The 18031-nt window shown below is 40.6% G+C and overlaps 1 protein-coding gene across 2 annotated transcripts in view; it reads right to left on the reverse strand.

Moving 5' to 3' along the window:
• Positions 1 to 1973: 1973 nt before the first annotated feature.
• The window catches only part of ATP13A4 (ATPase 13A4), a 194153-nt gene continuing 178095 nt past the window's right edge, over positions 1974 to 18031 (reverse strand). For both annotated transcript variants that reach the window (XM_047449063.1, NM_032279.4), the window contains 5 exons: positions 17586 to 17757; positions 15185 to 15378; positions 13989 to 14077; positions 10320 to 10400; positions 1974 to 5871 (listed from right to left, as the gene is read on the reverse strand). In XM_047449063.1, the coding sequence (XP_047305019.1) occupies positions 5659 to 5871; positions 10320 to 10400; positions 13989 to 14077; positions 15185 to 15378; positions 17586 to 17757 (749 nt within the window). In that variant the 3' untranslated portion in view covers positions 1974 to 5658. The remainder of the gene's footprint in view (positions 5872 to 10319; positions 10401 to 13988; positions 14078 to 15184; positions 15379 to 17585; positions 17758 to 18031) is intronic.

Below are 18031 nucleotides of genomic sequence, written 5' to 3' on the forward strand. Positions count from 1 at the left end.
CTTTATCTGGTAGACACTTCAGACCATTAAGGGTTTCTGGCCATGGACATGACATCATCAGAGTTGTGCAATAGAATAGATAGAGACTTCGAGAAGAAAAAATAGAAGAAAGATCTCAGTCAGGGAGACTACTTAAGAGGCTCTTGTAATCAGGCAGGTGGTGACAACCAAGGGCTTAGAGGAGAGGAAGTTCTGCACAAGAGACACTGCCAAGAGAGGGTCTAGGACTTAGGAATTGCTTGTAGCAGGCCCAGGTGGGACTTTTCATTGCATATATGTGTTTGTAATTACAAAGGTAAAAGCCATCATTTACCCACAAAACTTCCTCGATATGATGCAAAACCATCACCCTGGGCTTGCAGCACAATATGAATGGTGCCTCCTAGGACTGTACAGTGTGAAATACGTACAACACATGTGAGACCTCTCTGCAGTGTAACCCCCTTTAACCACAATTTTAAACTCAGCAGAATGTCCACGGTAAGTATGTGTGCAGCCTTTATCACAGGTCAGTGACTTATCAGATTTTTCTTGGCATTGAAACACTTCGAAGTCAAGACAGCAAGGAAAAGAGCTGGGAGAGTCTGGATGACTCTTTGAGTGCTTTTCATCCAACCATGGACAATGCTCTGCAGCATCCTGCATTCTTTTCCCTGACAGATTAGCTAATTTAATTAGCAGAATCTGGCTAGATGTGAAAAATGTAAAGAACCTTGATTTGGAAGTCAGTAGGTCTAGATTATAGACTCAGCTCATTCATTTCCCCATTATGGGTTCTTGAACAAGTAGTACTCGTTCAGCCTTGGTCATCTGAAGGGTGGCACAGGCATTATGCAGAAAACAAACCACGGTAGTAGAGCAAGAGCAACATTAGACAGAGTGGTCAGGGAAGGCTTCTTGGAAGAAGTGACAAGTGAGCTGAAATCTGAAGGAGAAGGAATCAGGAATGGCAACAGGGGGTTGGTGGCGGGCAGCATTCAAGGCAGAGAGGATGGCAAATGCAGTCTTCCTGAGGATAGAGCAAGCTCAGAGTGTTTGACAAAGCCATGTGGCTCACTCCTAAGGCTCTTTCATCAACTCCGGGAGAGTTGTGTTTTGTTGTTAATTTTATCTTTGTTTAATTTTGGAGAAACTCACTTTACTAATAAAGTTTAAAGGCCATTGTTAACAAGTCTAATGGAAACCAAAGGGCAGACAGAATGTTATAGGGCAGCAGTTTTCCAAATGTTTATGCATAGAGAAGTGAGCACAGTTCAAAGCCAAAAGAAAATCTATAGGAACCTGAAAAGCTGTGCCAAGCAAGTCTGAATAAAGATCAAGCAGGGATATAGTTTTCTGTTTCTGGAGACTGAAGTCAGAAACCAGAGCTTTATCCAATCACATGAAATGGGCTCACAGGGCTCTGGTGTTATGATTTTCCTCCCTCAGCTGTGGGAGTTGGCCTTTTCTGTGATTGATGGTCAGGTTCAAGAGAACTTCCATGAAACACCAAAATCTCTTTCTGGAAGAAACTGTGCTCATTATGGCAATTACATTGGACATTTGCCTCGCTGTCGTCTTGTTTTTCAATGCTACGGTTTTTCTCTTCTTTTTTCATTCAGGAAAAACAACATAGGAGAGTGACACAGCAGGGATCTCGCTGATAAAGGACCTGCATCTGAATCCAGCTCCTCCATCCATGGGCCATGTGTCCTGGTTGCTGAGACATCTGGAGAGCCTTGTACCTCATCAAAAGAAGAGAGACAGTAATCCTTGCCTTTCTTTCCTCCTAAGGTTGTTAACGAGGCTTAAATGAGAGAACAAGGATGAAAGTATTTTGTAAACTCTAATGCCCTGTGTATAAAGCAGAGAATAATAGCATCTGTGGTGTTAGAAAATGCCTGGAACTTTGTAAAGATGTTGTTTGATTCAACATTACTGGAGTAAACCACACCATTAGACAGAATGAAAGACTCCACCGCAGAGAGAGAGACTGATTTTTATAACAACTGAATTTATTATAGCATAAACTAAATACAAAGCTCTGAATAAATAATCGTTTTTTTCAGTCATCACATCTGCAGGTGTGTATGTGAACATTTCCATAAGCACATAAGGATACAGATGTCACAGACATATTTAGTGAGGGAAGCCCAGAGTCACGGTTCTCTGTGGGTAAGAGCTAGATGCCTTGAGATGAACATACAGGGCACCGTCTCAAATGATTTGGACTATGTGACTGTGTTCGTTTCTCCTTCAGACTCTGCTCAAGAAAGTGTATTGATAACAGGTTGCTCCGCCCTCAAGTTTAGGGCACTCTCCCACGCTCTTTCATGCAAAGTTTTTTAACACCTCTCTTTAAGAAAATTCACAAATCAGAAGTATTACCCCAGCTTCAATCTGACAATCAGGACCCCTACTCTGCCCCTCTTTCCTAGGATCTTATCTCCATTAGGGGTCCCCTTTCAAGGTACAGGGCAATTGAGTCTATATGTCCACACAATCGGATCTGACAAGGCTGGGAGCCCTCCCTCCAGAGCCCATCCTCCCATGAGTGTCTGTCTGGTATTCTGTGTGGGTAGTAGTAGAAAATAGTTCACATCTGGTGGCTCATGTCTGTAATCCCGGCACTTTGGGAGGCCGAGGCGGGCGGATCACGAGGTCAGGAGATTGAAACCACCCTGGCTAACATGATGAAACCCCATCTCTACTAAAAATACAAAAAATTAGCCGGGCATGGTGGCAGACCTGTAGTCCCAGCTACTTGGGAGGCTGAGGCAGGAGAATGGTGTGAATCCGGGAGGCGGAGCTGGCAGTGAGCCGAGATTGTGCCACTGCACTCTAGCCTGGGCAACAGAGTGAGACTCCATCTCAAAAAAAAAAAAAAAAAAAAAAGGTTCACATCACAGCATAAGACTGAGACACTGGGTGTATCAAGCTTGAAAGAGATCTTGCAGGTAATTGAGTTTCATCTGATACTTGACTTCCTTCTCTACTTGGCCCTTGAATAGCCACTTGTTCCTCCAATGTCCTAGAGTACATTCCACTGCTATCAGTGCTGGCTGTTAGGACAGTGGTTAGGGCAGATGGCCTGAAGCCATCCCCACTGTGATCTTTACCCATTTGTCCTGATTTTGCCTTCTCATGCCACCTGGCACAAGTAGGATCCTTCTTTCTCAGGAAAACCCTTCACAGTCCCCTGACTGTTTTCTTTCCAGGCTGGGCACTCCCTGTTCCTTCAATTACTGCTTCTAAGATGTAGTTAATCCCAGGAATACAGTCTTCAAAATGAGTCTCTTTTCCCAAAGATTTTATGGCTGCTTGACTAGTGGAGGACTAGATTCTTTTCTTCCTGTTCCCTGCCAGCCTTTGCTAGTGATAGAATCACTTAGGATCAAGGCAAGAGCAACTCAAAGTCTCAGAAAGACAGACAATCATTTTTTTGTTTTGTTTTGTTTTGTTTTTAATACACCTCTAGCCCAGGCCTGGCAGGATGCCTGGCATTCATTTGAACAGAGGGCCTGGTATTAGCAAAGGGTTGCCCATTCTTTGCTTGACTGTGAGATCACACTAAGCAACCTGCCCTGCTGGAACTCTGGAATTTGGAAGTATTTGGCAGCAATATAAGGTTTGCTCAGAAGATCTGTATTTGAGGCCTAGATCTGCTCTTGCCATTACTGAATCTCAGCTTTCTCATCTGTATGGTGGAGATGATAAGCCCTTCCTTGTTCAGTCATGGGACAATTGGTACCATTCAGGTGAGTTAGTGGAGGTGAATGCACTTAGCAAAGGGCACATTTAAGTATGAACTGTGCAGGCTGATCTTGCTCATGACTAGGTCACAGACCATCTCTAGCTTGCCCCTGCCTACAACCCTCTACTTTTGGAAAATGAGAAACACTTTTAGAGAAGGACATTCAGAACTGCCATATCATTGCTGAGGCTGGCTTTGCAAAAGGAAACATTTCTTTCTGTACCAAAAAAGACAGTGATTCTGCAGTCTTGAAACACTAAAATATCTTCACGCCCTATTTTAAAACCAGAAGTAACAGGGTACCCTCATGGCTGGGAGACACCATGTTCCTAGAATCAGCTGCAATCATAGAGCCATCAGCCATGCTCAAGAGCTCAGTTAGGGGGAAGGAATGCTTGCAAATGCTATTGATAAGTTCCAAAGCCAGCCTGGGCCAGGACACTTATCCCCTGATCAGAACATTCACCTAGGATTTGATGCTCATAATACAAATTTTGCTTTTGCCTTAAAATATTATATGTAGGTGTGCTCCTAGAGTTCAGTGTTGTCTCCTGAGGTAACAGAAACCTGAGTCTTCCTTGTGCTGAACAAATCAAATATAACCAAATTGTAATAGTGACAAAATAAGGACAATTTTAGTTTTCTGGAAACTCAAGCCACAAACTTTAAAAAAAAAATGTACTAGTTGTGTAAGAACTCCCATCAATAGTGCCATATAATGCTGTAGCATGAGACTAATGTTTCTCAAAAATAATAAAGCAGAGGAGTGAAAATTTCTGGAGTTGGCCATGTGACATGAGAGATTCCTAAAACATAGGATAAGTTACTGGGGTTAGGAAAAGTGGGCTGTAGTGGACAGCACTCGTGCTTTCTGATCTGTTATTTTCCTCTCCTTCCCAGGACTACGTTCCAGACCAACTCTATCATTTGTGGGGCCTGGTACAAAATGAAAATATGGGGACCCCTGTTCAAAAATTAAGAATTTTAAGATGGAAACAGCAGAGTGTTAAAGCCAAGTGTGGGGACCTTCTAAGCATGGGGCCCTGTGTAGTGACAGCTCATAAGCCCATGAAGCATCCCTAAACACAGGAGACTGCACTTTCCAGCTCCCTGGCCAAATCCTTGACTAATGAGATATGAGTAGGGAAAGCAATGTGTGCCACTTTTGGGGTGAGGCAGTGAAGAGCCCACACGTGATCTCCAGTCTATTCCTTCCCCCATCACAGTCAACACACAGTCCTTGCATCGAGCTGATGGAGCCATCAGGTTGAAGCAGTCACTGCTGTAAGAATGGCAGTTCCAGAGTGTCACCTGGATCACGAAAGAAGCACTTGTGTGTTAAGGCACTGATATCTGAGAGTTGTTTTTTATTGCAGCATAGGCTAAGCTTATCCTTAACAATATGTTGGGTAAGGCCAGAAACAGAAGAAAAAGCCTCAAATCTGAAAAGTACTACAGAGAAAAGGAACCCAGACAGTAAAGATTGGTGTAATGTTTCCCACGCATTAGTTTTTCCATCGATGAAGTAAAAATTCAAAAATTACAACTCCGTGAGTATACACAGTACTACTTCCCCTCAACTCATTTTTATAAAAAGGAAAGTATTGTCCTGTCCTAAGAGGAAAGATCACATATTTTTCCCCTTTAGCCTGCTTGTCTCTTGGCCCATAGAAATTCTTGGCCCATTCTTGCCTTCACTGAATGCCTCTAATACCTTCAGAAGCCAAGAGGAAAGCACTCTTCTGGGTCAATGTTCTTCTCTGTAGACAGTATTTTATCAAACAGACTTTAGTTTGTCACCATGATTTGATAGGTAGCCCCAAAACTCCAGCTGATGTTACAAGAGTCTCATTTCTTAAAATCAATGAAACTGGTCCCTTTTGTCATTGTTTCTCTGTAATATCAACTTGGATATCACATGTCCTTCAGAGTTGTTCTTCATTGCTCTCAAATACTGGATTGCTGTAAGACACTCCTCTGCCACACTCCGGCATGTCAGAGTGGGAGGTTTGGTTTAGCGGGGGCCAACTAGGGTCATTTGCCAAGTCCCTCTGCCATATCCGATACTGGCTTTTTGACTGATAGCCGAAACATCTTTTAATCATCATCCACAGGGCTCGATTTTCAATAACAGCCTCCTGCAAAATAAAATAATTACTTTTTACAAGCAAGGGTTGAGTGTTTTGAGGCTACAGCCCTCCACAGGCCATCATAAGTCACTACTGCAATGGTTGCTTAGATCCAGCTTGACAAAGAGCTTGACCACTGGACCAATCTAAGGTGGTTTCATTGGACAGGTATTGGTTTCTCAAACGTTTCTACTTAAGTAACTCCTGTGGGAGAAGTAAGAGGTACAACATTTCAAGACTCTGGGAACATAACTTGAAATGGCTTGCCTCAAAAATGAAGTTTCTTTTGAATCTCACATCTAAATTGAATTTAAAATCATTCAAATTCTATGTTTCACTCTATAGCACATCTATATTTTGTTTAATATAAAATGACATTAAAATTACTACTAAATACTAAACACAATTGACCCTATATAAAGATGTGGCCCATGTATGACATGTTTTTGATATATCCTGACATATCACTGCATATTTAATTTCACACGGGCCAGTCTTGGAGTTGAACAGATCTGGATTTAGGTCCCAGTTCTGACACCTATTATGGGCAAATTAGTTACTCTATCCATGTCTCCGTGATTAGAATAATCCCTTCCTTATGTTTGTTGTAAGGCTTATATAACTCCCTTTACAATGCAGGGCAGGGCAGGGCATAGCTCTCTCCCTTTGCCTACCCTTTGGAACTACTCATTTAACAAATGGCTATGCACTGTGGTCCTGTTCACACATGCCTCTAACCTTCACCTTCACTGAAATACAGTATTAAGATTACAAAAGACATGTCTCTTTGAAAACATTTTGCAATGCCATTTTATTTCATGAGTTAGAGTGAGCCTTGAATAGAGCCCAAGTTATAACTTATAATTCATGAGAGGTTATCATATTAATTTTCCACTTTTATCATGTTTGCTCACAAAGATTGACCATCTTAGAGGTTATTGTGAAAGAAACAAAGAAAAAATATGGGACGTGAAACTGTCCCACAGAATTAGAACTGATTTTCATGTCTATCTTTGCTAATTTGAAAGAGTTAATTCTGTGAGATTCTATAAGGAACTTTGCCAGATATAGTAGTTTTCCTAAAATCTACCCATTTTTGCCATTTAGGTTCCACTGCCCATGAAAGGATAGAGAACAGCCAGTCTGCATTATTCCTGTGATAACTGACCATCTGCTGGCTGCGGGGCTGTTAAAGATCCATATAACCGTCTCAGCCTCTTGGAAACTTAGCCAGATGAGTTATTCTACTTTCCTGCAGCAAGGTTTTTTTGTCCTCCTTAATTGACGTGAAAACAGTAGTTCTTCTTAGAGCTGGGATAAGGCAGGAGCATCGAGTAAAGGTTTTAAAATCTTACTTACTTCAAGGAAACCTTAGCAAACCTTAAAACAAAATAGATGAAACCACACACACACACACACAGAGAGAGAAACTTTGGTGCTCTCCATCTCTACATCTTGCCTTCAGTGTTTTTTAGTTCTGGACTCTGATGACCTGTATCACCTTGCTGCTCTGGAAGAGGAAACTACAGAGAGGTGATCTGTCCTGTTACCGCACATTATAAATACAAGGCAGAACTAGTGACATGATCTGAATTTGTATTTCCATCCAAATCTCGTGCTGAAATATAATCCCCAATGTTGCAGGAAGGGCTGGATGGGAGGTGACTGGGTCGTAGGGATGGATTTCCTTCTTGCTGTTTTCGTGATAGTGAGTGAGTTCTCATGAGATCTGATTGTTTAAAAGTGTGTAGCACCTTCCCCTTCTCTCTCTTCCTCCTGCTCGGGCCATGTAAGACCTGCCTGCTTCCCCTTTGCTTTCCGCCATGATTGAAAGTTTCTTGGGGCCTCTCCAGCCATGCTTCTGGTACAGCCTGCAAAACCATGAGCCAATTAAACCTCTTTCCTTCATAAATTACCCCGTTTCAGGTATTTGTTCACAGCAGTGGGAGAATGGACTAAAATACAACTAGAAAAAAACGAAAGCCTTAGTGAGACATTTCTTTAAAAAAATTTCGCCACATGAGCGCTTCTGACTGGCTACTCAAATAACTCATACATACAAGCATACCTATATAAACACATCAATAATTGTTTTAAAGGTGGGGGCAATTAAAGCTATCCACACTACCTCTCATGCCTCTCAGCTGGAGGTTCGATCATGAGCACTGGCATAGTAAGGATAAGGTCCTGCTCAAACCTGTTTGTTTTCAGGGCTGATCAGAGATTAGATAAGTGGAATAATTTGCCCAAAGTCAGAGAGCAAGAAAGTGGTGGAGCCAGGATTCGAACCCACCCACGTAGATTACCCCGAGCTTGTGCTCTTAACTGCAAATATGCTGAAAAAGGAAGAACTTCCTGCTAGAGGATTAAGGAAGACTTTGATACTTCATTACCATACAGCCCATTCCCTCCCAACTCTTCCCTTCCCACCTAAAAGGGAAAAATAATGATAATAAGTGGTCTAAGCCAAATTGTCTAACTTTTGACATGGATCCACTTTCCCAGAATCTTTTTCTACTCATGATGACCATGAGACACAAGTGTAATCGATAAAGCATAAAAGGAAGTCTGCTGGTGAGCTTCAGGAAAAGTTTGTTTCTCAAGAAAAGGTTCAGACTTGCTGGAAATAGGCTTGCTGTGGCCTCTCCTTCCATTTTCTTCCTGCACTGAAAACAGATGTAAAGTCCGGCTCTGTGGAAGCTATCTGGACACCATAATCACGTGCACAAACATGAAAGACCACATCGAAGGAGAGTAGAAGAGAAAGGTGAAAGAGTGTGGATTCCCAGTGACACTACTGAGTTACTAAGCCAGTCCTGAAGCCACCTACCTTCAGTCTTCTTCTTGAGTCAATAAACATCTTTATTATTTAAGCCACTGTTAGTTAAGTCGTTACTTGCCTACCTGATCCAGAGATCAGGAAAGATACATGAAGAGGATACTACTACAGCTGTGCTGTAGAGGATGGAATAGCACTTTAATATGCGGAAATGGAGGAAACATACACCACACAGAGAGAATCCTGTGATCACGAACAGGGATAAGATGTATACACTAGATCCCCCTCTAAAGGGCAAAGACCATCATTCTGCCACTGGGTCTGAGGACACCCGTGATAATGCTCTTTTATTAATCTGGTTGCTTTAGAGACCATATGGTTTAGCATATTGCTTCTCAAAGTGTGATCCCTGAACTAGTCTCATCAGAATCCCCTGACAACCTGTTAGAAATGCTAACTTTTGCACTTCTTCCAGGCCTACTGAATCAGACACACTGCGGGTAGGGCTGGGCAACGTGTGTTTTAATAAGCCTCCCAGGTGATTCTGATGCCCACTCAAGTTTGAGAAGCTCTTGTTTAGCATATAGAGAGAAGTTCCAGTACTGAAATTCTGTGTCCTGTTCTGCCACCAGCTCCTGTGCAGCCTTCACTCTGCATAGGAGTAAGCAGGGAGAGCTCATTGAGGTCCTGCCTACACAATACTGCAGGGAAGTCAGGCTGTAGGTTCTCACAGCTCACCATGAACACTCCATTTGCAGGAATAATTCTAGTTCTGTATCCCAGAGCAGAAATAGAGACAGATGGAATTCTGCATCTCACCTCTCCTTTGTTCATAAATGCCTTTTCAGGGCACCCCTGCCTACCAACAGGCTTTGAAGAATGGATATTGTGTCTGGTAGTACTGAGCAGGGAGAGCGTGAATCACGTGGAGAAAGAAAGCAGGAGCACAAGCTCATTTCACTGAGGAAATGGAGCACAGGGGAGCTGAAGAATAAAAGCTAGAAAATGGAGCAAATGGAAGCTGGAGAATGAAAGCCGGAAAAGCTCACTATGAATGTTATTTCCCATCCGCAAGGCAAAAATGATATGAGTTAAGTGAAAGAAGCCACACACAAAAGGCCACATATTGTATGGTTTCACTTATATGAAATGTCCAGAAAAGTCAAATCCACACAGTCAGAAAGTAGAATAGTGATTACCAAGGCCCAGGAGAAGGCAGAAGGGGCAATGAAGAGCAACGGCTAGTAGGTACAGGATTTCTTTAGCGATGATGAAAATGTCCTGCAATTAAGTAGCGTTAATGGCTGTACAACTCAGTGAGTGCACTAAACACTACTGAATTGTGGACTTTAAAAGGGTGAATGTTATGGTGCGTGAATCATATCTCAATTTTAAAAAGTAAATTGTGTTGGGTCTTTATTTGGAAATTGTAGAAATGAACAGGACCTTAGAGACCATAATTCCATTCTCCCCCGCCCTACTTGACAGATGAGAAAACTAACGTCCTGCTTGGGACTCATCAGAGGAAGGCACCATTGCTTATACTGTGAAGGAAGGGAGCCCCTGCACTGCTGAGTCCATGTCAGCTAAAGTTGTTGTTTTCAGAGTCCCAAAGAAGTCCCCCTACACACATGCGTGCACACACACAAGATCAGCAGCCCAAGATCAGCACACTTACCTCGGCCACAAGGGACACAATGAAATTCAAGCTGAGCATGATGACAATGGAGGCCCTCCACAGGACGGGAGTGCAGAGCAGCTGGCGGGAGATGATGAAGCACAGTTAGTCTGAAGACACGCAGATGCTGGAAACATGCTCACATGTTCACAGCATATATTTTCCTAGGTTATAAATCTCATATGTAATATATATGTGTGTATATTACATATATCTTATATATATAAAAAATTTCTATGCTTGTATGCACAGAAAAAGTACGGAAAGGTTATACTTATGATCCTAATGATTTGGGGGGGTTATGAGTGTTGCTTTTCTTCTTTTATCTTTTTTTCTTCTTGTGATGTGTGTGTGTTTCTCTATGATTTCTAAATTTCCTAAAATAACTTTGGTCACTTTGCAATTAGAAAAGAAGAGGAAAATCACTCTTTGTTTGCTTGCTTTGTTTTGTTTTCAAAAGGGAGGCAGGAATGTGGCTTTATCCCCAGGAGGCCTGATGGTACCCATGTCAAACCTTCACAACTGGGCAGCATTGCCCTCTTCTCCCTGGTGTCCCGTCTCTCCCCAGCCAAGCCCTGCCTTTAGCACTGGCTCAGGGCTTCACCCTCAGGACTGTGCATCCAGCTGCACAGTGTGCCCTCACAAGGGCCCTTGCCAAAGGAGCAAATGGAGCTGAAATCAAGCTTGTCATGACCTGTCCCTTTGCCCATTTTCTCTGTGTCTTCCCCAACCCCTTCCAGGCACATGCCTGATATATATGTATGGTGAATGAGTGAATCAATGGGTGAATTAATGAATGAAAAAGTGCCAAGGGCATCCCATTGTATCTGGCACTGACTTATGCATTGCCTCATACGTTAGTGGGAGTAAAAACTGAAACAGTTCCATAGAGGACAGTGTTCTCAAAGTTAAAAATTCAAATCCACTTCTAGGAATTTATCTGAGAAATATACTTGTACATGGCTAAAATGATATATGCACAATATTTTTATTGCAGCTTTGTTTGTAATAAAAACTTGGAAACATCTTAAATGTCTATCAATATGGGACTACATATAAAGCATGGTATACATATGACATATACATAATATGCATTTACATAAAATATTATATTAGCATTAAAAAGAATGAGGAAAATGTATGTACTGATATGGAACAATTAATGCTGTTATATGAAAGAAGCAAGGTGCAGGACAATGTATGTGTTGTAGCAGCCATGAAAATTTTCCACTCAGATCTTCTGCTGCTGGGAGGATAAATGGTGGATACCCCAACTGTTATGCTCAGAATCCACCACCACATCCACTGTAAAGCATATCTAAAGTCATAAGCTGCACATAGCCAAGAAATGAGGACACCACGGATTCTCATCAGACTCATTCCTACGAGACGTAGAAACTCCTGATGGGCAACTTTGGCCTGACTTTCTTAGAAGTGTACTGCAGTCTGAGATGCTACACATCTAGCCCTCCTTCTTCCCTCCCTTCGTTTTAGAGGATAAACCCACATCACAGTGTGATGCCTCTCCCCACTTCCTCTGGCTTTCTATTCCCTTACCCCTACCCCGAGAATTTCCTCCAGCAAATCTCTTGCATAACTAAACTCAACTTGTCATCTACATCTCAGAAGACCTGAACAAATATAATAGTTTTCTACTGTTTATGTAAAAATGTGGAAGAAGAATATACAAAATATGTCCCAAAGTATGTAAAATAAACTAGTGTCATTGGTTACCTCCAGGGAGAGGAACTGGTAACGGGGAATCTAAGATGGGATGGGGATTGTCACTATATGGCTTTTTAAACATTTGAATTGTGAACCAAATGAATGTGTTCCCCATTAAAATAATTTATAAATTTTTAAGTAAGCAGTTTCTAGGTTGCAAAACAACATGATTCCATCCTTTTAAAAAAAACTAAAAATTAATCAACACATTTATAGTATATGAATTGTAAAAGAAGGAAGAATATAGTGAATAATGTTATAATTTTCCTTGCCCGCACATTCTACATTTTCTAAAAAGAACACATATTTTTATGTAATAATAAGAAAAATAATTGTTTTAAAAGTGAACAATAATTCTTTGCAGAATCCTTTGCAGTCATGCTGGCAATGACCCTACCCAGGTTCTCTCCAAATTAAATATGTTCCCTATTTTGTTATACCAGAGGACCCAGCCTTTCTGTAAGAATCTTCTTCTATTAAAAAGTGACATTCAACTCACCACATCTCATCCTTAACTTCTGTAGGATTAAGAAGTTTTAACTGACTTAGAAGACCAGTGGGCAAAGCCTACTTATTTCCATGAATACTTAATTTAATTCACGAAGGCACTTAACAACAGTGGTAATTACACTGCTAACCACAGTGATGTAGTTACAAAAATAAGAAGACTCATGCTAAACATATTAGTATGTCAAACTAAAGATATTAGTTAGTATGCCAAATGTCACTGTGGGTTTGTGCAGGTGTTGCTGGTTGGGAATGCACTGTATGCTCTAAGTGCTTGTTTATATTTAGGAGTCTGATACGCAATGATCAGTCAGTCATTCCTTTGTCATTTTTTGACATTCTTTGTGGAAGGCACTGGTAATACAAGAATGAATAAGATACACTGTTGGACCTCATGAGACTCATCTTTGAGATGGAGAGGCAACCAGATATACAAAGCACTCAATTAAAAGAGCTGTTTCTTTAGTCATCTCTTCAATATTGCATTTCTTGATCTAAAGATCATTTAGCCGTGATTAAATTGTAATAAAAGTAGGATAGGTTAAGGGGATCAAAATATGTTTTTCCCTGGCTTGGATATGTAAACTTTTGGTATCTTGTAGGTTTTTACAGCTGTATCAATATTATAAAATATAAGAGAGTTTATGAGGAAAAATATGGCTCTTGGAAAGTGAGTTTTACAGACATTAAGTATGAACACACAGAAAACATTTTTAAAGCCGTAAAAAAATACATAAATATATGATAACCAAAAAAAAAGCTATAGGCAAAACAGTTTTAAACAACTTCAAAAAAAGAAGCAATTAGGAAAAAATTCTCTCATATTTGAAAGAGAAAATATAGAAAAACATTTTCTCATAGGAGATCTTTTAAAATAAAAATATTTGGTTAGATGCAGTGGCTTAAGCCTGTAAGCCTAGCGCGTTGGGAGGCCAAGGCAGGAGGCTAGCTTGAGGCCAGGAGTTTGAGACCAGCCTGGGCAACATAGCAAGCCCTCATCTCTACAAAAATTTTTTTTTAAAAAATTAGCTGGGCATCATGGCACACTTCTGCAGTCCTAGCTACTCGGGAGGCTGAAGTGGGAGAATTGCTTGAGCTCAGAAATTTGAGGCTATAGTGAACTACGATTGCACCATGGCACTCCAGACTGGGCAACAAAGTGAGATCCTGTCTCTTAAATAATAAGAAGAAAACAAAATTAAAGTATTCAATACTTAAAGGCTGTCTTTAATCTCATGAAATCAAAACTGGGTAGAATTTTATTTCTTGACCAGTTTAAATAAAAAATATAGATAAATTTAGCATTTTTTTTAGCTCTGCCATCCCAAAAGAATAATTTGTGTCAAAAATCATGTCAATTGAAATTGTGATCTGCTTTTTAAAGTTAAACTGTTACATAACTGTAAAGCATCATCATATCCCAAAGATTAGACTTACATCCAAACGTCTATATAATTCTGGTATATCAGCAAATAGAATGAATAGACATACACCAAGCTGTATTATCAGCACAAGGACAAATATATCTGAGGAAATAAGAACACAAGGTATTATTTTGAGAAATCAGAGTGAAAAATGTCACATATATTGACGGATGTATTCTAGATTAACACTGATTTAATTTACTTGATTTCTACATCCAAATACTAGATGGAAAGTATTCATTTCTAAGCAATGGGTCTCACCTCTTTAATTTCTATGCATGTCCTTGAAGCAAGTGAAAATTTTCACATGCACATTTTAAGTTTCAATTAATAAAAGTAGTAGATATACATAGGGTAACATTGACAAAATACATGTTCAATAAATGCCTTGAAGACATCCAAGTATCTGAGTCACTTTAATGCAAATTATCTACCTCAAATCATTTTCTGGTAAAAAGGAAGCCTGTCAATAAACCAATTTTTAAATTGTTATCATATAGAGGTCAGTATTTAGCTGCTTCCTCATCCCAGGAAGAAGAAAAGCTAAATAATTTTCTCTGAACAAATAAATTTTTATGAAAATATTCATAAAGGAACTCAATTTGGGCTTTGAATTTTTTCAATAAGAAGAGTAGTGATGATATACAAATAAATGTCTTGAAGATTAAACAGGTCACTCATTTCTCATCCAAACATACCTTCCTACTCCAGAATGTAAGGAAGTAGGAGGGAGGTACTCTGGCCGAGAGCCTCCATAACCCTCTCTAGTCAGGTTCCTCCAGGCTGGACCCACTAGCAGCCTGCCACCACACAATGCCACCCTGACTATTGCCTTCATGGCAAGAGACAGGATCCACTTGAGTTCTGTTACGCTTCTCTCCACTGTTTCCAGGGTGAATTCTGACAAGTACTGACAAGTAGAGAAATAAATTGGTCTTTTCAATTTGGAGTGATCCCAAGAAAGACACCCAGAGGCAAACTTCTGGCGAAGGAAAGGGAGAAAGAAGCCCTAGTATTTAATGTAGCTTTGAAGGAAAGAGCAAAGAACCGTGAAAATGAGGCTGTACGATGTGTTTTGCAGAGTCCTAGAGTGGAAGTCAAGAGATGCTAGATAAGAATCAACTCTAAAGCTGTTCCCTAAGTGACCTGGACATGTCTGTTCCCCTCTCTGATGACTTCTCACCTCTGATGCAGTACAGTTCTACTCACAGTTTGTATAAGTTGGCTGTCTAAATGGTTTTCCTTTAGAGAACACAAGAGCCACAGTGATACAGTTGATTGTTCCCAAGAACCAGACTGTAGTGTTCTCAAAACTTGTGAAGGTGCTATTACTTTCCATTTTTTCTGGAGCAGTTGGAGACATGGTTAACTCTGAGATGCTTTCATTTTGTACTGTGCAGGCACTAAAAGGGAAAACCAAAGAAGCTAATGAAGTAAGATTGCAAGGCTTTATGGAGCATTTGTATCCAGAAGATTCCATACCAAACAGTGTCCAGAGCAGGCACTCAATGCTTCTACAATTGCCTGTGCTTTGGAAAACACACACACACACACACACACACACACACACACACACACACACACACTGAAAAATAGGGGAAAAAATCAACAAGCACAGATAGACCCGTATTTTGGATACATTGAGAGAGAGAGAGAGAGACAGAGAGAGAGATTCAGCCAATTATGTATTCAACAAATTATGCACATTCATTAAGGCTATATGGGAAAGAGATTGGTAAATCATGATTCCTCCCTCAAGTGGCTTAATATCTCTGATAATTTGGCCAAGTGTGGTGGCTTACACCTGTAATCCCTAGGAGGCCGAGGTGGTTCACTTGAGGCCAGAAGTTTGAGACCAGCCTGGCCCACATGGTGAAACACCATCTCTACTAAAAATACAAAAAAATTAGCTGCACATGGCAGCATGTGCCTATAATCTCAGCTACTGGGGAGGCTGAGGCAGGATAATTGCTTGAATCCAAAGGCAGAGGTTGCAGTGAGCCTAGAACACACCACTGCACTCCACCCTGGGCAACAGAGAGAGACTCCATCTCTATAACAGCAACAACGACAACTGTTGCAGGAAGTCAGGGACTTTGAACAGAGGGACTGGCTGGAGCTCTGGCAGAGGAACATAAATTGTGAAGATTTCATTTTAATATGGACATTTATCAGTTCCCAAAATTAATACTTTTATAATTTCCTATGCCTGTCTTTACTGCAATATCTGAACATAAACTGTGAAAATTTCATGGACATTTATCAGTTCCCAAATAATACTCTTATAATTTCTTATGCCTGTCTTACTTTAGTCTCTTAATCCTGTTATCTTCGTAAGCTGAGAATGTACGTCACCTCAGGACCACTATTGTACAAATTGATTGTAAAACATGTGTGTTTGAACAATATGAAATCAGTGCACCTTGAAAAAGAACAGAATAACAGCAATTTTAGGGAACAAGGGAAGACAACCATAAGGGCTGACTGCCTACAGGGTCAGGCAGAATAGAGCCATATTTTTCTTCTTGCAGAGAGCCTATAAATGGACATGCAAGTAGGGAAGAGACCGTTGAATTCTTTTCCTAGCAAGGAATATTAATAGTTAATATCCTGGGGGGAAGGAATGCATTCCTGGAGGGAGGTCAATAAATGGCCGCTCTGGGAGTGTCTGTCTTATGTGGTTGAGATAAGGACTGAAATACACCCTGATCTCCTGCAGTACCCTCAGGCTTATTAGGATGGGGGAAAAAACCCCACCCTGGTGAATTTGAGGTCAGACTGGTTCTCTGCTCTTGAACCCTGTTTTCTGTTGCTTAAGATGTTTATCAAGACAATATATGCACAGCTGAACATAGACCTTTATCAGGAGCTTTTGATTTCACCCTTTGCCTTGTGATCTTTGCTTTGCCCTTTGCCTTGTGATCTTTATTGGCCTCAGAAGCATGTGATCTTTGTGACCTACTCCCTGTTCATACACCCCCTCCCCTTTTGGAGTCCTTAATAAAAACCTGCTGTTTTTGCAGCTCAGATGGGCATCACGGTCCTACCGATATGTGATGTCACCACGGAGGCCCAACTGCAAAATTCCTCTCTTTGTACTCTTTCTCTTTATTTCTCAGCCAGCAGACACTTAGGGAAATTAGAACCTATGTTGAAATATTGGGGGCAGGTTCCCCCGATAAACAACAACAACAAATCTCTGATAATTTGTAAGTGAGTTGAATATATAACTTAACTAACAAAGATAGTTTTGAAGGTGAAAAGGAAAGATGTTAATAATTTCACTGGGACATCACTTAATTTAAAGTGGGCTACTTAAACTGGGGCTGCTCAGGCAAATTATAATCCATGGTCACCCTAGATATCAAAGATGGTCATAGATCATTATCATATAAGACAGACAAAGATAAGTGCTAATGAATGAATGATACATTCATTAGCATTAAATCATGCTACAGAGAAGAAATAATCACTGAAAATTTGCCCAAGGGACTTTAAAAAGCCAAAACCTTTGGCAGAATGAAGACCCATGTGCCTCCCATCATATTGGCCAGAGGATGTTTGATAGAAATTAGAATGTGAGAAGCAGAAGCTGAGACTATACTCATACCTGTGTATCTCCACGGAATACCAAGGCTGCCTCTGAACCAGGATGAAGCCTGCAATATGCATGGCCAGGCTGAGAAGAATGTTGAAAATCACAGAGAGTAGCAGAGGTGGAGAGATCAGCCGTCCTGCAGGTCTGAAAGGCACCAGCTTAGGGTAGGCACCATTCAGATTCACTATAAAATAAATTCGAATTTTATATTTATGAGAGCAGGAAAATGTATTCTTGATCAGAAGAATGGCATAAGTTCATTGGCCCATACATTTGAGGAAATGGACAAACTGGAGTACATCACAAACTGAGGGAATAAAACAATTAATGGACTCAAATTCAAGTCATGTAAAGAATTCTTAAAAGAGCAGACAAAGCCACAAGATGTCACTTTTGGCCTTATAAATAGGGAAAAACTATTAAATTACAGAGAAGGGAGGGATGAAATATACTCTCTC

This window comes from Homo sapiens, chromosome 3 (genome assembly GCF_000001405.40).
Source record: "Homo sapiens chromosome 3, GRCh38.p14 Primary Assembly".
In the NCBI taxonomy this organism is placed as follows: domain Eukaryota; kingdom Metazoa; phylum Chordata; class Mammalia; order Primates; family Hominidae; genus Homo; species Homo sapiens.